Source organism: Homo sapiens, chromosome 1 (genome assembly GCF_000001405.40).
Source record: "Homo sapiens chromosome 1, GRCh38.p14 Primary Assembly".
Lineage (NCBI taxonomy): Eukaryota > Metazoa > Chordata > Mammalia > Primates > Hominidae > Homo > Homo sapiens.
Genome location: NC_000001.11, coordinates 55,039,368 through 55,065,493, shown reverse-complemented (window position 1 = coordinate 55,065,493; position 26,126 = coordinate 55,039,368). Strand labels below are relative to the sequence as shown.

The window sequence follows — 26,126 nt, the reverse complement described above, 5'->3', positions numbered from 1 at the left end:
TCAGCCTCCCAGCTCAAGCAAGCCTCCCATATCAGCCTCCTGAGTAGCCGGGACCACAGGCATGTGCTACCACACCTCGCTAATCTTTTAAATTTTTTTATAGAGACGGGGTCTCACTGTTGCCCAGGGTCTTGAATTCCTAAACACAAGCAATCCTCCTGCCTCAGCCTCCCAAAGTACTGAGATTACAGGTGTGAGCCATTGCACCCAATCTGAGACTGTTCTGAATTTTAAATCATGAAAAAAGCCATGGACTTAGCACTGGCTCATTACAGAAGCATCTGGCACTGTAACTTATTCCGTAAATACTCGGGCCAGGCTGTGTGCCAGGTACTGGGGAGAAAAGAATGAAAAGGGCATTGGGAGGTCAGGACAACAGAGCATCTAGAGTGCTGTAGGGCACCTGTCACCAAGGAGGAGGCACTTTGACTGTCAGGGTGGTCAGGGGAGCTGCAGGAAGACATTCATTTCATTCCTAGGATAGGCACAAGGAGTAAGTTCACATCACCAGTACTTGCCCAATACTTGTACTCAAGATAAAAGTACTCATCAAATACTTGGCTTACTCAACTATTCAACAAACTTACCCAGTTCCTAGTATAAGCAAGGCATCACCCTAGGCAGTCAAGTCTATGCAAGAGTTAGGACAACGTTTGTTTGTTTTTATTTTAAAAAGTCACCATATTAATAAAAATGCTACAAAACCCAGAATAAATATCTTCAAGTTACAAAAGCAAAACAGGTCTAGAAAAGTTGGCTGTAAAAAGGCAACAGAGAGGACAGACCCAAAAGATAAATGTCTGCTTGCTTGGGTGGGGCTGGTGCTCAAGGAGGGACAGTTGTTGGCCCTCTCCCCCGACCATGCCTTAGAAGCATCTCCGCCAGGCCAGTGAATCAGGCCTGGGTGATAACGGAAAAAGTTCCATGCCTGCAGGCATCGTTCTGCCATCACTCACCGAGCTTCCTGGTCTGTGTTCCCCTTCCCAGCCTCACTGTTACCCGTAAAAATGAGGAGCCCAGCCGGGTGAAGTAAGAAGAGGCTTGGCTTCAGAGCCAGCCCAATCTGCGTTTCTGGCTCAGTTCCTGCTGTGTGAGCTTGGCAGGCACGCCCCCTCTGGTTCCAGGTTTCTTCCTCTGTGAAGTAGGGGTGCGAATGTGTACCCTGCCGGGTAGTGGAGCGGGTTGGCTGAGACAGTGCATGCACCACTGCACACTGCCGAGTCAGTCCTAGGTGATGGCTCCCCGCAGGCCACCTTTGGGTGTTGCTAGCACAGCCTGGCATAGAGCAGAGTAAAGGTGGCTCAGGAAACCAAGGCACAGCCTGTGACCACCAGGGGCGCACCTGTCTCCAGCCTCTGGCTAGATGCCATCCAGAAAGCTAAGCCTCCATTAATCAGGGAGCCCCCAGGGGCTTCTCCACAGTTAGCTGGAGATGAGGGCCATCAGCACCTTTCACACTCACCCCCCAACGATGTTTGTCCCTGCAGCCCCTACCGCCCCCTCCCCTATCCATGGGAAGAATCCTGCCTCCTTGGTGGAGACCTGAGGATTGAATGCCTGGCACGGAACAAGAGCTCAATAAAAGTCATTCTGCCCACGGACATCGGCACATTGGGAGCAGCTGGCAGCACCCGAGCACAGCTCGACCTGTTTGAATGGTGAAATGCCCCACAGTGAGGGAGGGAGCTTCCTGGCACCTCCACCTGGGGAGGAGGCACCCAGAGTGAGTGAGTTCCAGGCAAGGAGGCTGCCCCACTCAAGGGCCAGGCCAGCAGCCCCGGAAAGGCGGAAGCATCCCCATCCCCTCGTGCCAGGCCATGGAGGGCTGAGAGAGGGACAAGTCGGAACCATTTTAAAGCTCAGCCCCAGCCCTTGACCCTCCCCAGACACCCATCCTGGGATGGGGCTGTCACTGGAGCTCCTGGGAGGCCTGCGCCAGGTGCCGGCTCCGGCAGCAGATGGCAACGGCTGTCACGGCCCCTTCGCTGGTGCTGCCTGTAGTGCTGACGTCCCGGCTCCTGACTACACACGTGTTGTCTACGGCGTAGGCCCCCAGGACGTGGGAGGTCCCAGGGAGGGCACTGCAGCCAGTCAGGGTCCAGCCCTCCTCGCAGGCCACGGTCACCTGCCAGAGCCCGAGGAAAAGAAAGCACATGTCTAGCGTGGCCCGGGACCCCCACCCACACTTCATTTCTCCCTCCGACATCCTTCTGTGAGGCCAAAGTGCAGACGGCCCTCGCTGGCTCAGAGCCCATTTGGGACACAACCGTGTATCTCCCACCCCGCACCTCCCACCCAGGCGGTTCTGCACCATGGCTGACCAAACACGTGAGCTCCTGCTTCATGCCTGGTTTGAGGGCCGTGGAGATAGACAGATGCCTACCATGCCAGTGCCAAACTCATCCCTCTGAAACTGATGGCCCCATAGCCTGCCCCATCCCACTTAATGGCAACTCCATCTGTCCAGGGGCCCGAGCCTTGGTGCCATCCTCCCCCTCTCCCACCCACATCCACCCACCAGGCCTGCAGGCTCCCTTCAGACTCCAGCCTGAGCCCCGCCCCAACGCCTGGACCCTCCACCGCCTCCCTCCAGTCTCCCTGCTTCTGCCCAAGGTCCTTGTCATCTCTTCTCAGCTCAGCAGCTAGGCCACAGTGAGAGGTTCAGATCCAGGCCAGACCACACTCCTCTGAGGCCAGACCCCTGCATGGCCCCAGCTCACTGCTGACTGTGACCCTCAGGTCTCACCTGACTTGGCCCTGTCCCCTCTGAGGCACCCCCCATCTCATAACTATTCCCACCTCTCTGGTTTCCTGGTACTCCCTGCACATCCCCACCTGGGGGCCTTTGCTTTGCCTGGAACATGTTCTCTGCCTCATGGCCTGTTTCGTCCACCTTGTCAGCGAGACCTCTCCTGACCTCTCTCCCACCCCATTCCCTTCCTTGCTATAGTTTTCTCCATCGCATCTTTTCAGTACTCTATATTAATGGTTTGTTTTCTGTCTTCCTCCACTAAAATAGATGCTCCAGGAGGGAGAACAGCATGTCTCTTGGGCCTGTATCCCTCCCCAGTGCCAGGAAGAGCACCTGGAACCTAGCAGCCCTCAGTGTACCCAGGGCAAGTGGATCCAAGACCAAGACTGTCTTTTGCTCTCGAGGAATGCACCATCCAGACCAGAATCAACACAGACTTGCATTTTAAAACTGACTCTGAGTTCATTTAAGAGTGGACTCCTTAGGGCTGCCTTTTGAGGAGCTCCTACTGGCTTTTAAGGAGAGTTATACACTCAGGTTTCTAGAAGGCCCGGCTGTCACATTCCAGGGCTTGGCACATGCCTTGCTAATCTCGGCAGGGCCTTTTCTTGCCTTGCTGGTCATGCTAACAACCTTCAGCATGCAGCTCAGGCACCCCCTCTGGGTCACGGCTGAGTGAGCTCTGTGTCCTCAGAGCCCAGTGCTGCTCCTGACCCTGAGACCCTCCCAGCAGGTTTGTTAAATAGATCAGAGAGGCCAGGTGCAGCGGCTCATGCCTATAATCCCAACACTTGGGGAGGCTGAGACCAGAGGATTGCTTGAGCCCAGGAATTTGAGACCAGCCTGGGCAACACAGCAAGACCCCATCTCAGAAAAAAATAGATCAATCAATAAATGCATGCATATTGCATTTCTTTATGCCATATTTATGCACATTCTACTCCAAGTGGAGTGGGGTACCCAGGTAGCAAACCTTACTGATCTGGACAAAAGCAAAAACAGACCCAGCCACACAGAGACACATATACATGCTGTCCACACAATGGCGGAAGCTGCCCACAGCATCTACCTGGCAAACCGCCACCCTGATGCATGGCGGTATGGTGGTGGCACAAACTGACACAGAAAAGCTGTGCAGGAGAGACACGCAGCACCCCACCCACCCGGCCTCACGGGCCTCTTCACCTGCTCCTGAGGGGCCGGGATTCCATGCTCCTTGACTTTGCATTCCAGACCTGGGGCATGGCAGCAGGAAGCGTGGATGCTGGCCTCCCTGTGGCCCACGCACTGGTTGGGCTGACCTCGTGGCCTCAGCACAGGCGGCTTGTGGGTGCCAAGGTCCTCCACCTCCCAGTGGGAGCTGCAGCCTGGGGCAGAGGAAAGCCAGCTCAGATGTGAAATGCTGGGATGCTCCGTCTCCAGTGCCCATCCCCATCAGACCCTCTCTCTTTAAGGTCTGAGGCAAGAGCTAGGAAACCTAGAAACAACTCAAAGAAAAAAAGAGATGCTGGCCTGAGCACCAGGACTCCTGTGTTCTCAACTCTGCAGCTGACCAGCTGTGTGACCTTGGGAGAGCCATTCAACCTCTCTGAGCCTTAGTTTCTCAGGGAAAACACCATCTTTCCACCCAGAGATGGAGACAGTGAGGCAGGGGCTCTATGGCCTGAGATGCTCAAACTCCCCCCAGCCCCTCCCTATGCAGCCAGCAGGCAGAAGTTCAAGGGTAAGCCGGGGTCTGTCTGAACCACCTCAGAATGCCCTCCATGGGCTTAGGAGTCAGACACACCCATTGGCTAAGAAACCTAAAATAGTGGTTACTTAGCTACACTGAGGCTCTGTTTACTCATTTGTAAGATGGAAAGAGAAACCACACCTACTCACAGGGACACTGTGAAGATGACACGTGCGAAGCCCCAGCATGGAGCCTGGCATGTGCTCTGAACATGGTAGGGTTGTGGTTACTAGCATTCTCTATGTCCTAGCTGCAAGGGCTCGGGGCAGCCACTCAGCATGTCCAGCCTGCAGTTCCCTTAGCTGCAAAATGGTGCTCTTTGAGGTGCGCTTCATGGAGTCAGATTCCATGACTTCAAACTGACATGTGCCTGTGAGCTCATCGGCTGAGCACTTCCAAAGGGGAGCGTGATTAGAGCATGGCGGACTTCCCTCCAAGCCAGGACCCCTGAACCTGACGGAGCCTCTCCCCTGGACAAGGGCACCAGCCACCTGACTATGCTCATCTTTCCTGAACATCCATCCTACATGCCAGCCTGCTGTGCCCAGAACCAGGTTCTCACCCTCACTCTCCTGTTCCCAAACCCTCAGTGGTTCCCCTGGACGTGCTCAGACGAGAATCAACTCTGAGCCTCTTATTCCAGGCTGGAGTCCCACTGTCTTCCCAGACCTCTCATGCTCCACCCAACCAGAACAGCTCAGCCTCAGGGCACCATCCCTTGATGCCCCAAGAGGTCCCCATCTGTGACTTCCTGCTACCTGCCTGGGCATGTTTTCGACACAGGGTAGCCCGTCAATAGTTGCCTATACCAGAGGCTGGATTTTAAAGCAACGGGTGATGAAAACAATAGTAACGATAGCTAGAATTTATATTGTCCCGGCACTAAGCTAAGTGCTTAGCACTCATCATTTCCTCATACAGAGATGTTAAGTAATTTGCCCAAGTCACACAGCTATAGAGCGGCAGGGTGAAATTCAAACCGAGGTCTGCCCTCCTTTCAGCCCCAGCCGGGGGCCTCTCTCTGGAGCTGCCTCTCCTGGACTGCACCACCTTAGGCAAAGCACCTGCGATACTCCAGGCCAGTGCCCTAGATGCTGCCCATCTCCTTGCAACACAATGAGGCAGGTAATACCTTTTTCCCTCTTATGGAGGAGGAAGCTGAGATGAGGAGAAGTAAGGTCACCTGCCCAGGCTCAAAGGGCATGGAAGTGGCAGAACCAGAGTATGGAACTGCAAGTCAGGCTTGAGTCTCATGGATCACACTTGTGAGGACCAAGCCTCGCGGGCAGTGGGTGCATAAGGAGAAAGAGACCCCTCCTCACCCCAGGGCAAGCCCAGCCTCCTACCTGTGAGGACGTGGCCCTGTTGGTGGCAGTGGACACGGGTCCCCATGCTGGCCTCAGCTGGTGGAGCTGTGTGGACGCTGCAGTTGGCCTGGGGTAGCAGGCAGCACCTGGCAATGGCGTAGACACCCTCACCCCCAAAAGCGTTGTGGGCCCGGCAGACCAGCTTGCCCCCTTGGGCCTTAGAGTCAAAGACGGAAATGGGAATCTGCTTTAGAATGGGCTTTGAAAACACAGAAAGGGACTAGACAGGATCAACTCAAGCACCCTCATCAGTGTCCCTGCCAGGGGCCAGCCAGACCCAGCCTTCTGGGGACAAGGAGCTCACTCCTGCCCAAGGAAGACTGTTCTGCCAGTGGGCAGCTCTGAATACTCAAAAGTTCTTCCAAACACAGAGTGGTTTCAAAATGGAGATAGAGAGAAATCCAGGAGGCCAAAGCAAGGATCCAGCCAGCTCCACTCCACCCACTCTGCCTCTCACACGAGCATTAAGACCCCATCTCCTCAAGCCAGAAATGCCTGCCCCTCCTCACTCTCCTAGCTGGGCACTGCCCTTCCACCAAAATGCTGCAACCAGATGGCATCTGTGCACTATCCTGTAGCATCAACATCAATTCCACTTTTTTGCTGGTTTGAGATTTCTCAGCTCCCAGAACCATGGAGCACCTGAGTGAGAGGGGCCTAGAGATGGCTGAGTCCAGAGTAGCAGATCGCTGACCCTCACGCGGCCCTGCCGCACGCTCACACCCAGGTGAGCATTGAAAATCCATCCAGCACTGTCCTGCAGCCTCTAGGAAACCCTTCCCGCTGTGGCTCTCTCCAGCAGCCCCCAGCCGCGTGAAGTGAGGAGTGCCCCACTCCTGGTCTGGCCAGCCCTGTAAGCTTACAGAAGAGCTGGAGTCTGGAGGATGGAGGGGCTTGCTGGGGGTCCCTGAGGGCCCAGCACTGACACACACACACACACACACACACACACACACACACACACACACACACACACGAAGGAGGGGTACAGTCACCTCCATGCGCTCGCCCCGCCGCTTCCCACTCCTGGAGAAACTGGAGCAGCTCAGCAGCTCCTCATCTGGGGCGCAGCGGGCGACGGCTGTGGCCATCCGTGTAGGCCCCGAGTGTGCTGACCATACAGTCCTGCAAAACAGCTGCCAACCTGCAAAAAGGGCCTGGGATGAGGAGGGGGTGCTGGGAGTGAGGGGACCTCCACAGAAATCTTTAGTTCATGGTAGGAGAGAGGAGGGCTTAAAGAACATACTCAACTGTCTCTATAAAAACACGTTATGAAAATATTGCACAGCCCTTTCAGAGCCCCATTCTCATTTAATCCTATTTAAGGTGGCGTCATCCTCCTTACACAGACAAGGGAGAAGGGAGAGACTGTCAAGGTCACACAGACCTCCCAAGCCCCAGCCTGGACTTGCCCACCCTGCCATCCTGCTTACCTGCCCCATGGGTGCTGGGGGGCAGGGCGGCCACCAGGTTGGGGGTCAGTACCCGCTGGTCCTCAGGGAACCAGGCCTCATTGATGACATCTTTGGCAGAGAAGTGGATCAGTCTCTGCCTCAACTCGGCCAGGGTGAGCTCCGGCTCGGCAGACAGCATCATGGCTGCAATGCCTGGTGCAGGGGTGAATGGTGAAAGATGGTGATGGCCCGGCCCTCCTGCCCCAGCAGGGGACTCCTGCCAGTGCACACACGCACACACATACACACAAACACACGTGCACACAGACACTAAGCTCTCTTCTCGAAGGTAAGCCGCCTGCAGTCCTTACTCAGTGAGGTAAGACAGCCTCCTCTCACACCTCTAAGCCTTGGTAGTTGCTGTCTTATCGGCCAGGTGAACTCCTATTCATCCATCAAGCTCCCGATCAAATGTCCCTCCTCCAAGATGCCTTCTCTGACCCTCGGGCTGGGCAGGTGCCTCCTCTGGGCTCCCTCTAATACAGCCCTGACCTCGTGTTTCCTCTGTGCACTCGCCTCCCTCATCAGACTGAGTGTCCTTGAAGGCACCATCAGGCCTACTTCATCTCTGGTCCCCCTGCACAGAGCCTGGCACTGGAGGTCCCGGCACAGACCCTGACTGCCAAAGGGGCTGTTAGCATCACGGTGGCCGAGGCAGTGGGGTGGTGACTTACCAGCCACGTGGGCAGCAGCCTGTGATGTCCCACTCTGTGACACAAAGCAGGTGCTGCAGTCGCTGGAGGCACCAATGATGTCCTCCCCTGGGGCAAAGAGGTCCACACAGCGGCCAAAGTTGGTCCCCAAAGTCCCCAGGGTCACCGGCTGGTCTTGGGCATTGGTGGCCCCAACTGTGATGACCTGGAAAGGTGAGGAGGTGGGTGGCAGAGAAAGGAGCCCAAGAGAGGGGTTGCAGAGGCAGACTCAGGCCTTGCCAGCTGGGCTGGACAACTGCTATACACCTGTTTGGGTCCCACTCAAATGTCCCCTCCTAAGGAAAATCTGACTGCCCAGGCAGAACTCTGGCACCCCTGCCCCGCCCTGGTGCTCCCCTCTGTCCCTACCATAGCCAGGCAGCATTCCCAATGCCCCTGTGGAGTTTACATCCTAGTGGGGGAGATAGGAAACTATTCGGTGTATCAAGTGGTTCTAAGTGCCACGGGGGGAAACTGAGAGGACAAGGCAGAGATGTGTTGGGCTTTGTTTGCTTGATGCCTTTAAATTCGGCCGCCAGGGAAGCCTTGATAGGCCAGGGGGGACCTAGGTTACCGCTGTCAGGTACGCATCTGCTCTGCAACCCCCACCCCCAACGCGCGCGCGCGCACGCACACACACAGACTTGAAGTTCCAGACTTGAAGTGGAACAAGATTCCTTCCCCTAGATACCCGCAGTGTCCTGACACTGGAGGAGTGGTGGGTCAGAGGAGGGACGGTCACTGCCCCCCAGCTCCTCAGGGCCGAGGCTCCGTGTCTGTGTCCCCGCAGCCACACTGCACCGGGCATGCGGCACACTCTGTGGATGTTCCTCGGGTGAGAGGTCTGAGCCCTCAACCGCTCCCATTCACATTAGCCTTGCTCAAGTTGTCAGTCATGGAGCCGCGGAGAGAGCTGGACAACAGGGAGGCCCAAAGAGTATTGGGCAGAGGACGCAGGGCCTGGGGATGGAGATGGGGAGGGGGCGGGTACCAGAAGACCTTCAGGAGGGAGAGTGGCCAGGACGGGGTGTGGGGGCGTGGCTACGTAGGCGCCGCTACGTGGGCGCATGGCGGGGCCACTGCTATTCAGACTCTGCGATGATGGAGGTTTCGAGCCCCTTCCTCCCCAGCCTCCCGCATGGCGGGGGTCTCTGACGACTCCTTCCAAAGCCAGAAGGGTTCGGCCTCCAGGAACGTGCCACAAGAAGCCCACGTGCCACAAGAAGCCCGCCTGCCCGCCCGCCCTCCCTCCGCCCTCCGCCCTCCGCCCCCTACCCGCGCCTTGGGGCAGCAGCCCCAGCACCTACCTCGGGAGCTGAGGCTGGGGAGTAGAGGCAGGCATCGTCCCGGAAGTTGCCGGCAGCGGTGACCAGCACGACCCCAGCCCTCGCCAGGCGCTGGCAGGCGGCGTTGAGGACGCGGCTGTACCCACCCGCCAGGGGCAGCAGCACCACCAGTGGCCCCACAGGCTGGACCAGCTGGCTTTTCCGAATAAACTCCAGGCCTGGGAGGAACAAAGCCAAGGTCACCCCTTGGGGAGACCTGCTCCCCTTTCCCAGCCCCTCCCTTACAGGCACAGAGTGATGGTTAATTTTGGGGATCAACTTTGTGGCCTGATGTTTGGTCAAAAGCCAGTGGAAATGCTGCTGCGAAAATATTTTTTAGATGTGACTAACATTTAAATCAGAAGACGGAGTAAGGCAGGTTACTCTCTATAACTTGGGCAGGCCTCATTTAATCAGTTGAAGGCCTTAAGAGAACAGACTGAGGCCTCCCAGGGAAGAAGGAATTCTGCCCCAGGACTGCCTTAGGACTCAGTATTGCAACATCAAATTCTGCAGGAATTGCCAGCCTGCCTGGCCTGCCCTGCGGATTTCAGACTTGCCAGCCCGCACGGTCACATGAGCTTGAAACTCTTAATATATACATCCTACTGGTTCTGCTTCTCTGCAGAACCTTGACCAATACAAACTGGAAGATATTAGCAATTACACCAGCAATCAAACTAGCCAACCCCGGGCCCTTCTCTGTGCCTGGCTCTGTCTAAGCGTCTGAATATACGAACTCAGGGGATCCTCACAATAACCTTATTATCCCTTTCCATGAAAGAGAGGCACCAAGAGGATGAGCCTCAGAGGAATGAGAAGGGCACACTTCCCCACCCAACTTCCCCCGCCACTCTCTGAGGCCTGGCTCAGATGCCCCTCCACCGTGGCCGCAAGTGTTGGACCCACACAAACTTGAACAGAGTCTTGGCTGCCCACTCACCAGCTGTGTGGCCCCGCCCTCTGTGAAACAGGGACAGTTGCTCCCAGGATTGTCTAAAGAATTAAAAGACTCCATGCCTAGGACCCCCCATACCATAACTCCCCACCCTTGAGGGTGTGGTTCCTTCTGGCCTCAGTGGCACTCCACTCCCCCATTTTGGTGCAGGCCATGGTCTACCTCATGCTACTGTCAACAGTAACAGCTCTTTTTTTTTTTTTTCTTTCCAGACGGAGTCTCGCTCTATTGCCCAGGCTGGAGTGCAGTGGCGCAATCTCGGCTCACTGCAAGCTCCGCCTCCCGGGTTCACGCCATTCTCCTGCCTCAGCCTCCTGAGTAGCTGGGACTACAGGCGCCTGCCACCACGCCCGGCTAATTTTTTGTAGTTTTAGTAGAGACGGGGCTTCACCGTGTTAGCAAGGATGGTCTCGATGTCCTGACCTCATGATCCTCCCGCCTTGCCCTCCCAAAGTGCTAAGATTACAGGCGTGAGCCACTGCACCCAGCCACCAGTAACAGTTCTAACCCTCTGCCAGCCTGTGAGCTCTGGCCCAGTGGCCTGGAGACTGGAGGCCTAACGCAGCTCTGGCCCTGATGTGCAAGGGGACCTGGAACTGACAGCTTCTCCCCTGTCAAATGAGGTGTGGGAGCCTTCTGGATCCTGGCCTCTAAGATGTCTCCAGGAGCCGTGGCCAAGGATGGAGCTGGAATCTCACAGCCATGCTCCTCCTAGGAGACAGCTAGTGAGGCCCCTCACACCACGGAGGGAGGGAGTGGAGTGGCACTGAGTGTGGAGGTGAAGAACAACAGCCACATTTACAGCTGCTAGTTATTTACTTATTTATTTTTGAGATGGAATCTCGCTCTATCACTCAGGCTGGATTGCAGTGGCACGATCTCAGCTCACTGCAACCTCCACCTCCTGGGTTCAAGCGATTCTCCTGCCTTAGCCTCCCAAGTAGCTGGGATACAGACACCCACCACCATGCCTGGCTAATTTTTGTATTTTTAGTAGAGACGGGGTTTCACCATGTTGAACAGGCTGGTCTCGAACTCCTGACCTCAGGTGATCTGCCCACCTCGGCCTCCCAAAGTGCTGGGATTACAGGCATGAGCCACCGCGCCCAGCCTACAGCTGCTAGTTATTAAGCACCTGCTGTGTGCTTATCTCTGTGCTCAGACTGGACACACAATCACCTGCTTACAGAGGAGGAAATGGCAGTGGCAAGGAAGGCAATAGTGACTGTTGAGCCCCTGCCCCGTGCCAGGTCATGCAATAAGGGCTTCCCATACACTGACTGGGACCCCAAAGAAGGGACTTCTCCAGGAAGTCCTCCAGAGGCCAGAGCACCAGGCCTGGGGAAGGCCTTTCTGGGAAAGAACAGCCTCCCCTCCACACACTGACCTTCAGGAACTGACCTGACTGAGCCGAGGTCAGTCAATAAAGGGGTGGGACAGGCACAAGGGGTCACCTGATGGGGCAGAAGGTTATTGATTCTTGCCTTTAAAACTGAACATCAAAACCTGTACTCTGTAGGAAAGTCTCAGGGCAGAACTGGTGGAGCACAGGGCAGACTCCTGGGCCTTCTCAGCCTTTGAAACAGGCTAGTGGGCTGCCTCTGCCAGCACCAGAGCCAGTGTTTGACCCTGGGGGCTGGGGCTTACAGTGGAAGTCAAGCTGCTGCCCAGAGCTGACAGTTTTCCCAGCGAGTTCCCCAGCTTGAGCTGTGCGACCCTGGCAGTCACCTCCCCTCTCTGGACTGGTTTCGTCAACTATTTAGCAGCTACGGCAAGGCCAGCCCCAGGACATGCTGTACAGAGGCCTTGCTCAATGTCTGGCCACAGAAGGAAGTCAGTAAGGGAGAGAACCCTCCCTCTTCTCTGTCCACCGGCCCCCAGAGTCCTAGTTCTCAACTGGACTTCATAGGGGGGCCGCTGGGTGGACTAAATGTAGTCACAGTCTAGAAAAAGTCCTCTGCCAGTTCCTCCACCACATCTGCCTGGCCAGTGTGACCTGCAGGGCCCAGTCATGCAAGTGAGTGAGTCCCCTGGTCTCAGAGGTATGCAAGCAGAAGATAGAAAAAGTTTGCTTAGATCACCTCGAGTCCCTCCACATTGAAGATAACATAACAAAAGACATAAAGACATCACCGGATTTTAAAAGGGGAGCAGTGTGGAACTGTGGAAAGGTCATTGACCCAGGGTCAAGGCTGAACTCCCTGGGCTACCTGCATGACCCTCTTGGGGCCTGGGTTTCTTCATCTGCACTCGTGGCCACTGGGAACCCTGCCAGCCTTGGCACTCTGGTTCTCTGGCTCTGCGGCAGAGGCTGCCACAGCATTCTTGGTTAGGAGACATTAGCTCTCCCTGGGCCCAGCCCAAGCCACCTCCCAGGCCAGGTCCAGATGGAGAGAGACCAGCGTCTGGGGCCATCACTTACCTATGAGGGTGCCGCTAACCGTGCCCTTCCCTTGGCAGTTGAGCACGCGCAGGCTGCGCATGCTGGCACCCTTGGCCACGCCGGCATCCCGGCCGCTGACCACCCCTGCCAGGTGGGTGCCATGACTGTCACACTTGCTGGCCTGCTCGACGAACACAAGGACCACATGAGAAAGACCCCCCCTCCACCCTATAACAAATCAGCAGGTGGCTGGATGGATGAACGCCCTTCCCACAACTGATGGCAGGGAGGGGACAGTGACAGCTGGGGGGGGTGCAACCCAGGAGTACAGCTGCAACGCTCTGGGGTGGCAGTCCCCACCCACCTCCAGGATGGGGATATGGGCAGAGGCAGCCCTCCCATCAGACGGCCGTGCTTACCTGTCTGTGGAAGCGGGTCCCGTCCTCCTCGGGCACATTCTCGAAGTCGGTGACCATGACCCTGCCCTCGATTTCCCGGTGGTCACTCTGTATGCTGGTGTCTAGGAGATACACCTCCACCAGGCTGCCTCCGTCTTTCCAAGGCGACATTTGTGGGAGAGGAGGGAATGAGCATAAAGTCAACCTTATAGTTAACACACAGAAACTACAGAGCACATCCCAGGCACTGGTGAAAGCGCCTTAAATATATTCACTCGTTTAACCTCCAAAAAATCCTCACACACTACATCCTATTCTATAATGTATTTCATAGACAAGGAAAGGGAGGCCTAGAGAGGGCAGGTAACTGTCCAAGGCCATCAGCTGGCAATGCTACTGCCAAGAAGGACCCAAGTCATCCTGCTCCTTCATATGAATATCAATATCTAACAATAATATGAATGTTCAAAAAATAGTATCAAAGTGTAAAATAAAGCCCCTATTATAGCCTTTCACAGCTCACCGAGTCTGCAAGAAAGACAACAAGATTTAAAGACTCAAAGGAGAATAACAGTGATGTCTGGCCACCTGCGCTGGCCGGCTCATTTTAGAGACAGGAAGCTGCAGCTCGGACAGGATGTATGTCTGGGCCTCCTGGCTCCAGGTCCAAGCGTTCTCCACTCCACAAGATACCAGGAGGGCTCACGGGGACTGCTTCTGCCTCACACGAGTCACAACCTCAGAGAAAACAGTCACCGAGCGCCTACCCTACACTTTATCATCCCTAACTGGATCAGTTTGGATTCTCCAAGAAGCAGGCACTGGGGTAAAAGCTGCAAGAGACTCACTGGGGGAGTCGCCCATGCAGGACAAAGGTTAGGGTATAGGAGAAAGTAGGGAGAGCTCACAGATGCCAGGCAGGTCCAGCCTGCTGGATGGAGAAGGGAGAGAGGAAGAAAGGAAGCAAGGAAGGAAGCACCTCCGCTCCAGCGCAGGTCTCAGAAACTCTCAGCCAGGCCAAAGGAAGACTTCAGGCAGGTTGCTGCTAGCAGAGTCCTGCGCCAGCGGAAATGGCCTGGCCCTGGAACCCCTGCAGCCAGGAAAAGCAGGGCCTCAGGTGGAATCAGAGGGCAGCCCTCTGGGCTGTCAGTCAAACTGCTCCTGCCCCAGGGTCTCCTGAGTCTTCTGAAGTGCCATCTGAACAGCACCTCTGTGGCCCCCGCAGTGATCCTCCAAATATGCTGCAGAGTAGAGATTCTCATCTCAGGACAGGTGAGCAAGTGTGGGAGGCTCAGGGCGTGTACCCACTTCTTATGGCTTCGGTCACAAATTCCCAGACTCAGCAGCGAAGGCTCTGGGAAGAACCCTGCCTCACGTCTTCCGGCTTCTGGTGGCTGCTGGTGTTCCCTGGCTTGTGGCCACATTTCTCCAATCTCCACCTCTGTCTCCACGTGGCCCCTCCTGTGTGTGTCAAATCTCCCTCTGCCTTTCTCTCATAAAGACACATCACAGGACTTACAGCCCACCGCATAATCCAGATGATGCCATCTTGAGATGCTTAATTACATCTACAAAGACCTTTTCTCCAAATAAGGTCTGGCTCACAGGCTCTGTCTGGGTGTGTGTATCTGTGGGGGCCACTATTTAGCCCCCTACAGAGCAATTCAGTGGCTGCTCTGAGATCCCACATGAATTTCAGGCAAGGTCGGCCCCCAGTCCCGCATCCTCCCACCCACCCACTATGCTAGTAGGTCTGGGCACAGTCCGAACTGTGAGTCCCCAGCCTGCACACACACTGTCTACCCTGCCCTAAGGCCTCCAGTCTCGGCAGGAAGCTCCACTGATCAGTCCCGTGGGCACTTTGGTTTCTTCTGTAGCATGCTGAGCAGGTCCTTGGCAGTCTGCCTCTCCTCCCAGGCTGTGGGATGAGGCGGAGTCCTTGCTCTCTGAGTGTGTTAGGAGCTTTCACTCATCAATAGGCATCTACCATGTGCCCGGTGCTACACTGGGAAGGGGTGGCTGAGAGCGCTGTGAGCTCCGACCTGAAGACATCTGGAGACCAAACAGTGCTCGCCACCCTAGAGGAACCACTAGATATTGAGCTGGGCTATGGAATGTCGAAGGGGCAGACACAAGACAAGGCCAGCAAGGTGGGCAGAGGCCAGATGGTGCCAGGCCCATAAGCCATGCTCAGTCTGCTCCTAGCAGAGGCCCCGGGCTGGCTGCAGGGGATACAGGTGCTCAGGAAGCAGCCCAAGGTTTTCCCTCAGAGCTTCCAGGCTGACGGGACAACTGGATACATTGGCAGACAGCCCGGGGAATACAGGCTTATCTAGAAGACAGCACAGAGGCTGCTTCCCTCCCTGGACGTAAGCCACACAACGCACATCGAGCAGAAGGCCTGCTGGGCAGGCTTCCAGTCCATGTTCCTCGTCGTGTGTGAGGAGGGAACTGAGGCTGCAGCTGAGTTAGCCCAGGTGAGAGTCCTTTCTGGTCCCACCCGTGCTTGGGACCACCATCTGCTCCAGGAGCTGTACCTGGGTTCTGCTGCAAGATGATGTGACCACTGTGGGGTCCCATCCCTGGGCCTGGGGTGTGGCCCCAGCGGCAGATGGAAGCTCGGGGAGGCAGCCCCACACCTTCTAAGTGCAGGCGGTTCCTGCCCGCTCACACCAGCCCACTGTCCTGCTGGGACAGGGTCAGGAGGCTGCAAGCATGGCCAGCAGAGGGCAGGTGGGCCTGGTAAAAGCCCCCACAGGAACATCCTTGGGCTTCCTTCCAGTGAGAGGCTGGAAAGGGGCCCAGCTCGGATGAGACACAGGGCCCTTCCTAGGCCTCCCTCTATCTTCCAAACCCCCGGGTGAGGCAGGGGCTGCTAGTTCCCTGTGACAGCGTGGCAAGGTGGCCTCAAGAAGAGCCACCACTCTCAGGGGCAAAGAGGCCTTGGAGTGGCCTCTTCCAGCCTCTGGAAAGCTCTGTGGCCTCTGGCAGGTGAGAGCCCAGTCCTGCTTGCATACCTCCAGAGCAGGGAGCTCATTCCCTCTCACCAGGCAGCCCTGCCATACGCCTGAGAAGCTCAGACTGTGGCCAAGTTCTTCCTTTCACATCTGACCTGGAGGCCACCCAGGCCCTCCTGGTCTCACCAGCCTCGGTCCCTTCTGCACAGGCCACACTCCCTCCTGCCTCACAGCTTCAATCCACGTTCATTCCACTGCTTGGACACCGTCCCCTTTGCCTGGTTAATAATGCCCCCGTAGGTCTTGGCTAGAACAGCGCTTCCTCCAGGAATCCTTTCCTGATCCTTCTGCTGGATACACAGGCTCGCAGCTGCCTGCACTCCTTCAGAGCTCTCAGCCTATCCAGAACTAATCTGTGTCAAGTAGCATTTGTTTAAGGAATGGATTAATCTTCTGGATACACTGTTGGGGGAAGAGACCACATTCATTTCATTCACATTTGTATCCCCAGCACCTAATATGGTGCCTGGCGCACAGTGGGTGCTCAAAACGTTATTATTGAATGGTAAGAAAAGAAAAATGCAGGGCTAAAATCACAGCACCTCACTCAATACCTGACAGAGAAATGCATGCTACAGCAATAACTGATTTAACCCTCCAAACAGCCCCCCAGAGTGAGGGTTATCATTACCTCCCTTTTGCAGAGGAACCTGAAGATCAGAGAGGGTGAGTGACGTATGCAAGGTCACACAGTTAAGAGTGCAGGGTCTGGGTTTGAGGGCGGCAGCCAGCTCTAGGGCCCATGCTTGTGGCCTCCCCATGAATGAAGAAGCTGCTGCTGGGCCCAGCCAGCCTGCCCCATGCCAGCCCAACAGCTCCAGGAGGACTTCCTCCAGCCAAGCCCTTGATATGACTCCAGAAGGGGTTCCACACCCCTGCCTGCCATTCCTGCCACCTCCCACAGACACTCGGGGGAAGCGGGAAGGGGGGCAATCCATGGGCATCCTATGGGGAAGAAAGGGCCCCACGTCTGCTTCTGGCCCAAGGGAGAGGAGGGAACAGTGGCTGCCAAAGAGATACACTCACATCCTAACCCCCACAACCTGTGGCTGTGACCTTATTTGGAAAAAGGGTCCTTGCAGATGTGGTTAAGGTTCCCCACATGAGATCATCCTGGAGGATCCAGTGGGCCCTAAATCCAATGACAAGTGTCCTTATGAGACAATGAAGAGGAGAGAGACACAGAGAAGGCTGTGTGAAGACAGAGGCTGGGATTGGTGTGCTGCCGCTGTTGGGACACGGAAGAGGCAAGAGAAGCTTCTCCCTGGAGCCCCCCGGGAGAAAGTGGTCCTGCCGACACTGATTCAGGCTTCTGGCCTCCAGGACTGCAGAGAATCAACTTGTTCCAACCGAGGGGGTGGTAATTTGTCACAGCAGTGCTAGGAAACTAACTTAGGGGGCAAGATCTTCTCAGTCCCTGCCTGGACTGGGGTCTCTGTGATCCTCTGCCAGTGTCCCTCTTGGTCTCTGATATTAGCCTGCTCCGGGAGGTCCCTGAGGCACTGATGTGGAGTACAGGGGGCTCCAGGGCTCCACTGAAGAGGTCTCACCTGGTTGGAAAGGAACAGGCTCTTCCTACAGAGGAGCTGTCCTCTCCCTGGCCACAGGCTGCCCAGGCCGGGTCAGCACACATGACCGACCAGGCCCCTCACTTCTGCTGCTGCCACCCTTGCCAGAGGATGTCCCCCACACAAACCCTTTCTCCACACCCAGCCCACCAGCTCTGATCTGTTGCAATGGCAGCAACTCAGACATATGCAAGGTCACACAGTTTGGGTGTATGCAAAGTCACACAGTAGCCCCCCAACTTTTCACTTCCAAAAGCATCTGCACATCCTTCAACTCATTGGAGTCTCACAGCAACCTGTGAGAAGGACAGGGACAGGGTTATGTGCCCATTTTACAGACAAGAACGACAAAGCTCATAGAAGAAAGTGGCTTCCCAAGATCCCACGAGAACCGGTAAGGGGTGAAAGCTGAGTTCACCCCAAGCTCTGCGTCCTGGCACCATGTTGCATGGACCCACCACATTGCATCATCTCTGCGCTGAGCTCCAGACCTCACACCATGGGCACCTCAAACTTAACACAGTCCAACTAGAACCCTTCATTCTCTCCTCAGGCCAGGTGCATCTAGAGTCTTCCCCGACTGAATTGCCACCTGCAAGTCCCTGCTAGAATGCAGACCGTTTTCCATGGCCGCTCCTCCTCCCTCCCTTCCATAGCCAGGCCACACCAGGCAGAGGGAACAGTGGAAAGAAAGGCCTAGAGGGAAGACACAAAGTGGCCCAGGCAGGGAGCCCCAGGAAGCCAAACGGAGCTGGAGGCAGGTGGAGCAGCAAAACAGGAAGGTAGGCAGAGGCATCCCAGACAGGGTTGTGTCTATCCCATTAAAGGATCTGGTCCAGTCTGCAGGGCACTGGGAGTTATAGAGGCCTGGGGGCCCTAGGTAGAGTCACCATCAGATGAACCCTCCTTCCAAGGTAAGTGCAGCCTGCTGGGCCATTCCAAATGGTGAGAAAAGGAAAACAAGAGAAAAGAAGGAAAAGAGGATCATTTAAGGCAAGACTTTTGCATTTGTGGGGCAACAGGAAGGCAGGCAGTGGGGGCTGCAGGGGATGGGGATGGGACAGAAAAAAAGGGGTCAGTGGAGGTGCTGAGTCCCAAAGCCCCCCGAGAAGTGGAAACCACCAGCAGGGAGGCCAGGCCAGGGCAGAGCAAATGGATTCAGCTCAGATGGGGTGGGGCAGGGCACAGATGGGGGTCTTACCGGGGGGCTGGTATTCATCCGCCCGGTACCGTGGAGGGGTAATCCGCTCCAGGTTCCACGGGATGCTCTGGGCAAAGACAGAGGAGTCCTCCTCGATGTAGTCGACATGGGGCAACTTCAAGGCCTGCAGAAGCCAGAGAGGCCGGGGGACTCTGCTTAAGCCATTTGGACAGCAGCAAACACAGCCACAGCCTGGCCTTACCTGATCAAACCTGTCCCCACATCCCAGCCCAGCAGCCTCCCACCTTGTCCCTGCTAGTGCCCCGGAGGACAGACTAGGAGCCTGAGTTTTCTCGCTCCTTGATCAGGCTGGGAGCCCAGCACTCCCATATCCCTGCAACACGGTCTGGCATAGAGGATTCCTTTTAGGAAGGATTCTGAACTTGACATCTTGTCTGGGAGCCAGGCTGTGCCAAGGCTCTGGGCAGGATGGACATGGAGTGAAGCTCAGGCCCTGGACTCCATGCCTAAATCATGACATAACAGCACTGGCAATTCGGTTTGTCCCCTAGTCTATTCTCCAGCCTTCTCCAGCCTGCTCAGTGCAAACTGCAGCACCAGCTCCCTTGCAAAGCTTCCAGTTGGGCTCAGCCAATGGGAGGCACTAGCAGGAGTTAGAAGGACAAGAGTGCATCAGCAGCTGGGAGCGGTGACTCACGCCTGTAATCCCAGCACTTTGGGAGGCCGAGGTGGGGGATCACCTGAGGTCGAGAGTTCGAGACCAGCCTGGCCAACATGGTGAAACCCCATCTCTATTAAAAATACAAAAATTAGCCAGGCATGGTGGCACACACCTGTAGTCCCAGCTACTCGGGAGGCTGAGGCAGGAGAATCGCTTGAACCCGGGAGGCAGAGGTTGCAGTGAGCTTGAACCCGGGAGGCAGAGGTGCAGATATGGCACCACTGCACTCCAGTCTGGGCAACAGAGTCTCAAAAAAAAAAAAAAATGGTGTGCATCTGCCCCACTCCCTCCCTACCTCCTGACTCCCTGCGCATGGCAGCGGTGAACCCTCGGGTGATTCCCCACAGGCAGCCTCTCCTCCATGCCACCGGCTCCAACTGGGCAGAGGGAAAGCTATTCCCTCTCCTTACCCTTCAGACCTAAGTGGTAACAGCCTCCTGCCACAACTAGTCCCTGGATGCCTTCGTATCCCCAGAGGCTTCTTAACCTGCCCCCACTTCAGCGAGTTTCCGTACCTAGCATCTGCTGAATGCTTCACGACCTCATTTAGTCCTTAAATGAATGTTCCAATTATTATAACTGGTTTACAGATAGAGGAATGAGGCTCAGAGAGGTGAAGGGATTTGCTCAGGGTTAGACAGCCAATAAGGGGCTGGGCAGGACTCGAACCCAGGCTGGTATGATGCCCAGTTTGAAGTCCAGCTCTCGATGGCAAATGCCTGCAGCCTTCTGTTTGCCTTCTGCTTGGCCTACTCTCCTCTGAGCAGCTGCCCTGGCCTGTGGGGCTCGTGCCTGTCATCTGGTGCTATACGGGTACCTTCTTCGTCTCTCCCCAAGGCTGAGCACATTGTCCCATAGTCAACTGTACTGGCAGTCACTGGTCAGTCTCTCCTCCTGAACTGTAAGCTCAAGGGAAAGGCCTGAGCTGTGTCATCTTCGCCTCTGCAGCACACAGTAGGCACTTGGTAAACGTGTGTTGAGCAGACTGATGGAAGGCATTGACTTGTCAGTCTCCTCTACTTAGACTACGGGTTTCCAAGGCAGGGACCCTGTCAATCCCTGTCATGGCGCCACAGGCCTTGGTATGAGGTAGCTGTTCAGCCACGGTATGCTGAGCTGATTAACCCATGGGGCAGCAGTGCAGTGCAGCTAGGAGACCCAGGTCCAGACTCCAGACTCTGACCCTGCCCATTACACGCTGTGTGACCTTGGACAAGACCGTGGGGCCTCACTGTCTGCAGGAGGCTAAGAAGCACCGCCTGCCATGTGGAGAATCAGTGTGAAAATGACACACGCTCTCATCAAGTTAGAGGCCAGGAAACGAGGTGGGCTAGAAGGTGGTGCAGAAGCACAAATAAAAACGTTTTTTTAAGATTTGAAGCACTAGGGCCAGGGTGAGGAGAATACCCAGTCCCCTTTCTGCCCCTCCACCGAAGATGTGACATCCAGGAGGGAGGAGGGCCACCCTGTCCTAAAGAAGGGACTTCACTCTGGATAGCAACAGCTTCAAAGGAATTTTGGACCCTAGAGTCATGCTTTTTTATAAAATGACTCAGGCTCCACTGAACATCCCAGGGCCTTGTCCCTACAGGTTTCCGTAGGCAGCAGATGCATTGGCACAAGAATGGCTGGCAGGCAGACCAATGGGTTTGATCCAGGCTCTACCCCTAGCTGTCTGTGTGGTCCCCTCTGAACTTCAGTCTCCTCGTCTTTCAAATGAAGATAGACGTACCACTGGGGCATGGCCAGGCTTAAAGGGAATTCTATACAGAAAGCCAGTAGTTACTGTGCTTGGTACCCGATAAGTGCTCAATACATACTTGCTGTCCCCTTCTGATTTTCAGCAATGGGCCTACTAAGCACAGTCCCCAGTGTATATGCAGTGGCCCAGCCCTATCAGGAAGTGCCATTCCCAAAAAGGGTGGCTCACCAGCTCCAGCAGGTCGCCACTCATCTTCACCAGGAAGCCAGGAAGAAGGCCATGGAAGACATGCAGGATCTTGGTGAGGTATCCCCGGCGGGCAGCCTGGGCCTGCAGGCGGCGGGCAGTGCGCTCTGACTGCGAGAGGTGGGTCTCCTCCTTCAGCACCACCACGTAGGTGCCAGGCAACCTCCACGGATCCTGGCCCCATGCAAGGAGGAACATGATGACATGGAAGAAACCCAGCAAACCCTAGGTGTACTTTATCTCACCCCTACTTACAAATTACAACAAAAGAGACACAACAGAGTATAGTAGATGATAAAGAAGTTACCAAATGCGGACCAAAAAGCAAATTAAAGAACTCATATAGGCCAACTATTATTATTCACATGGTTATATAACACTTTCAAATGTGCCATTCAGGCAAAAATGGGAACTACGGGCCACACTCGACAACAGGTTTTCCTCTGTACCTGCACCCAGCTCTCTACGGGCCTGGTCGCTCCTGGTGGCCCTGCCCAAAGGCCACCCCCTCCCCCATGCCCCAGTCAGAATAAATTGAGGGAAAAAATCATGGGCTTTGGAGCCAGGAAACCGTGGACCTGAATTCCAGCTCCAATATTTACTGGTTGTGCAGCCATGAGCAAGTCACTCAACCTCTCGGAGCCTCAGATACCTCTGCTGTATTGTAGAGACCACAGTACCTATGACATAGGCCTGCTGGGAAAGTCAAGAGTGACGGTTATATAAATCTCCCATCCAGATGCTCTACAAATGCAGGCAGAAGGGATGACTAAGTGAGCAAAGGCAACACTTCTTAAAGAGAGAGAAAAGTCAAGGCCACTGTCTTAGTCCTTTTGTGTTGCTATATAAAGGAATACCTGAAGGTGAGTAATTTACAAGGAAAAGGGATTTATTCAGCTCATGATTCTGCAAGCTCTCCAGGAAGCATGGCACCAGCATCTGCTTCTGGTGAGGGCCTTAAGCTGCTTTCACTGATGGCAGAAGGTGAAGGGGAGCCTACATGTGCAGAGATCAATCACATGGCAAGAGAAGAAGCAAGAGAGAAGAGAGGGAGGTGCCAAGCTCTTTTTAATAATCAGCCTTCAAGGGAAATCATAGCGGGAGAACTTACTCATTATCACAAGGACGGCACCAAGCCTTTCACAGGGGTTCCTCCCCCATGACCCAAACACCTCCCATTAGGCCCCACTTCCAACACTGAGGACCAAATTTCCACATGAGATTTGGAGGGGACAAACAAATTATAGCAGCCACTATCTATGGTGATTTGTTTGGTTTTTAGCTCTTGTCTGCTCCAACTGCTCTCAGGCAGACATACCTGCTTAAGAACCTTCACTGGCTCCCCACAGCCTCATGAATCAAGTCCAAACTCCATGCTCCTCCTTGGCCCCTACCTCAACCTACCTTGCAGCCCCATCACCCATATCTCTGTATATATGCATCTTGGACTCCAGTCAGAGTAGAACAGAGTCCACCCCCTTTACCCAAAGCCTTAGGGCCAAAACGGTTTTGAACCTCAGAACTTGTTTGGATTTTAGAAAGGCAGTAATGGGCAATCAGAGTCTGCTTGGAAGAATCTGGAGCTGCATACTGTAATCTATGCAGCAAAATATATGAATATGCATATTCACACAACTAAATTAAAAATAATCTCATGTCAGTTCACGTCAGGTGCTACCATCAAATAAATCACAAAAAAAACTTTTGGTTTTCGTAACATTTTACATTTCAGACGGTGGATAAAGAACTGTGGAGGCCAGGCGTGGTGGCTCACACCTGTAATTCGAGCACTTTGGGAGGCTGAGGCGGGAGGATCACCTCCTCGGATCCACTGAGGAGGTCAGGAGTTTGCGACTAGCCTGGCCAACGTGGTGAAACCCCTTCTCTACTAAAAATACAAAAATTAGCCGGGCGTGGTGGCAGGTACCTGTAATCCCAGCTTCTTGGGAGGCTGAGGCAGGAGAACCACTTGAACCCGGGAGACAGATGTTGCAGTGAGCTGAGACTGCACCATTGCACTCCAGCCTGGGCAACAAGAGCGAAACTCCATCTCAAAAAAAAAAGAAAAAGAACTGTGGACATGTGCTCCTTATCTTCCACCTCTGGTTTTCCCAGCTCTGTATCTTTGTTCATGGTACCTCCTAATCCTAGAATAAAATTCTCATGACACCATCATCGCTGAACTCCTACTAATGCTTCAAAGACCCATCTGAAAATGCCTTCCGCTAAATAAAAATTGAATGAATTGGGAGAGTACTCTGTGCAGTGGAGTGTCAGTTCTGGAAACCCAGTTCTAATGCACCTGGGGTGACCTCCTCTCTCTGGGCCTCAGTTTCTCATGACTAAAAGAAAAGGATTGGTCTAAAAATTATTTTCTGCTTGCCAAAAAATATTTTCATTCTAAATTCGATTCCCACAAAATAACCATTGAATGAATGAATAAATGAACTTGAGGAGGCTCCTGTTCCAAACTTCCACCAGAGAAGAAACATCCTCAAGGGCTTGGTTCAGGTGGTCATACAGCCTCTGCTTACTCACCTCTCAGGATGGGGTACTCACTATTTCCAGAACAGTTGTTTTGGAGCAGTGGTAACTTGAAATGCCCTTTCTTATCCTGGCCACAACCCCACAACATCCCTCGAGAAAGTCAAAGGCTCAGGGAACAAGGAAGAGGGCTATACTGAGCTGAGTAAGGACTTGCCATCCTGCCACCCAGCACACTCAGACAGAAGCGTGGGCAGGCAGCTGTGAGTGGCAGAATTTTCCCCTCTGCCCCAGGAGCTGTGGTTTGGAGCAAAGACAATGTCACCAACAGGTCACACTGCAGACAGGGACAAAACTGCAAGTGATCCCCCCGGGGCTTGCATTGTAAGTTCACTCATGGTCAACAGAACTTTCCCTTCATCTCCCCATCTGCTGCCACTGAGCCGTAGGGACGATTGTCACCTCCCTTTTAAAGATTAGGCAATGGAGGCTCAAGGATAAGTGACTTGTCAAGCACCACAGCTAGTGAGAGGAAGCCAAGATTCAACCCCACATCTGACTCCAAGCTGGGGGACACAGAACCTCAGCCAAGTCCTGGGCTGGTAATACTTAGAAAAAGCTAGTGGTCTCGCCCCGGGAAGAAGCTTCCCACAGCCTGAGGGCCAGAAGCTGGCAGAGTTGTTGAGCAAACTCGCCCCGCACACGGTCGGCAGACAGCCAGGTGGGCTGAGGCGCCGGGCTCAGCTCCGGGGTCCCAGTACCAGGCGCACCACCTCCGGCTCCAGAGCACCAAGGGCCCTTCCCTGCCTGAGTCCTAAAGGACGCCAATGGGCCTCGAGAATACCTCCGCCCCTTCTCCCCTGCCCCTTCAGCTGGTTCTTTTCTTCGGCTGAAACAGATGGAATACTAGAGCATGAGTTCTGTGTCATAAAGAAATTGCCTCGTGCTCCCAGCATCTGCCGTCCTTCCCACCCCGCCCCTGTCTCGGGTAGGGCCTTCTCTCCAGGCCCTCCACCCTCCGCTGCCCATGTTTTCCAAACCAAATCGGAACCCACTATAATGGCAAGCCCGCTTTCTCTGTGCCTGGTGCAGTTCCCAGTACGTTCCAGGCATTCACTCCTTCACCCACCTGTGCCGCGGCGAGGCAGAAACTGGGAAATCTGGGCAGGATATCCTGGCAGTGCTCTGCTCGCCCTTCCTCGGCCTCCGGGTCTCCCAACCCCGCGAACCTTCCCACTGAATAGCGCAGCCGCACGCCCCAGCAAGTCCCCAAAGAGCCGGCCGTCCCCGCTCTCCACCGTGCTCCCCACTACCCGTCCTCCCCCGCCGCCTTGCCTGCAGTCCCCAAGATCGTGCCAAGCGAAGAGCCCTCGGCGACCTGCACTCCACTTCCTCTCTTACATGGGGGGAAACTGAGGCCCGAGAGGAAACAGCACCGCACCGTCCCGGCTGCGGGTTCGCCCCGGCCTCCCATCCCTACACCCGCACCTTGGCGCAGCGGTGGAAGGTGGCTGTGGTTCCGTGCTCGGGTGCTTCGGCCAGGCCGTCCTCCTCGGAACGCAAGGCTAGCACCAGCTCCTCGTAGTCGCCGTCCTCGTCCTCCTGCGCACGGGCGCCCGCGGGACCCAGGAGCAGCAGCAGCAGCAGCAGCAGTGGCAGCGGCCACCAGGACCGCCTGGAGCTGACGGTGCCCATGAGGGCCAGGGGAGAGGTTGCTGTCCTGGCGAGGAGACCTAGAGGCCGTGCGCGGTCCACGCCGGCGGCGCCTTGAGCCTTGCGGTGGGGAGGACTGTGCAGGAGCTGAAGTTCAGGAGCAGGGCGCGTGAAGGGGCGCGCGGAATCCTGGCTGGGAGCTGGGAGCCGCTGCTGCAACGACGCGTCCCGGCCCGCCCGAGCCAGTCTCACTGCCTGGCTCACTCCTCCAGGCTCAGACCCTGAACTGAACGGCGGCGCCCGCCTGCAACCATGAGCGCCTCGACGTCGCTGCGGAAACCTTCTAGGGTGTGGGTGCTTGACGCCTGGGGCGCGCAGATCACGCCACCAGAGCCCCATCGGACGATCCTATCTGATTAAACATTAACGGAACCCCCGGACTGGAGGATCAGGTTTCGGCCTCGCCCTCCCCAAACAGCGTCAGATTACGCGCAGAGGGAAGAAAAAACTCC

At 55.3% G+C, this 26,126-nt stretch overlaps 1 protein-coding gene across 17 annotated transcripts, besides 3 other annotated features; it reads right to left on the bottom strand.

Moving 5' to 3' along the window:
• On the bottom strand, positions 642-25,946 carry PCSK9 (proprotein convertase subtilisin/kexin type 9). Of its 17 annotated transcripts, none has more exons than NR_176320.1 (13): positions 25,450-25,946; positions 23,405-23,527; positions 21,460-21,651; positions 18,848-18,971; positions 13,083-13,216; positions 12,703-12,844; positions 9,305-9,501; positions 7,980-8,163; positions 7,285-7,458; positions 6,847-6,995; positions 5,831-6,008; positions 3,938-4,229; positions 642-2,125 (listed from the first exon to the last, which is right to left on the bottom strand). NR_176320.1 is itself a non-coding variant. In NM_001407240.1 (13 exons), exons 1-13 carry the CDS (start codon positions 25,654-25,656, stop codon positions 1,910-1,912), a joined length of 2,202 nt encoding a protein of 733 aa, NP_001394169.1. In that variant the 5' UTR covers positions 25,657-25,946; the 3' UTR covers positions 642-1,909. The 17 variants fall into 17 exon arrangements, 9 of the variants coding, with proteins under 9 accessions (NP_001394169.1, NP_001394175.1, NP_001394171.1 ...); NR_176324.1 differs by lacking the exon at positions 23,405-23,527 and adding an exon at positions 14,041-14,302 and having other exon boundaries at positions 3,938-4,119; positions 7,337-7,458; NR_176319.1 differs by lacking the exon at positions 23,405-23,527 and adding an exon at positions 8,689-8,957 and having other exon boundaries at positions 3,938-4,119.
• Positions 15,957-16,512: an enhancer, noted in NCBI's record as "H3K4me1 hESC enhancer chr1:55514655-55515210 (GRCh37/hg19 assembly coordinates)". NCBI's record gives its function as "activates a minimal SCP1, AML or CMV promoter by ChIP-STARR-seq in primed H9 embryonic stem cells {active_cell/tissue: H9 hESC(primed)}" and the evidence as "EXISTENCE:reporter gene assay evidence [ECO:0000049][PMID:30033119]".
• Positions 21,045-21,544: an enhancer, noted in NCBI's record as "H3K4me1 hESC enhancer chr1:55509623-55510122 (GRCh37/hg19 assembly coordinates)". NCBI's record gives its function as "activates a minimal SCP1, AML or CMV promoter by ChIP-STARR-seq in naive and primed H9 embryonic stem cells {active_cell/tissue: H9 hESC(naive and primed)}" and the evidence as "EXISTENCE:reporter gene assay evidence [ECO:0000049][PMID:30033119]".
• Positions 21,545-22,046: an enhancer, noted in NCBI's record as "H3K4me1 hESC enhancer chr1:55509121-55509622 (GRCh37/hg19 assembly coordinates)". NCBI's record gives its function as "activates a minimal SCP1, AML or CMV promoter by ChIP-STARR-seq in naive and primed H9 embryonic stem cells {active_cell/tissue: H9 hESC(naive and primed)}" and the evidence as "EXISTENCE:reporter gene assay evidence [ECO:0000049][PMID:30033119]".

Bases quoted from the DNA above. Each gene is read 5' to 3' on its own strand.
- PCSK9 (NM_001407240.1), bottom strand. From the start codon at position 25,656: ATGGGCACCGTCAGCTCCAGGCGGTCCTGGTGGCCGCTGCCACTGCTG. The intron at 18,972-21,459 runs GTGAGCCACCCT...TGGCTTCTGCAG, and splicing joins GTGGCGACCTGCTGGAGCTG to GCCTTGAAGTTGCCCCATGT. The intron at 13,217-18,847 runs GTAAGACCCCCA...CGCCTTGGAAAG, and splicing joins GGATGAATACCAGCCCCCCG to ACGGAGGCAGCCTGGTGGAG.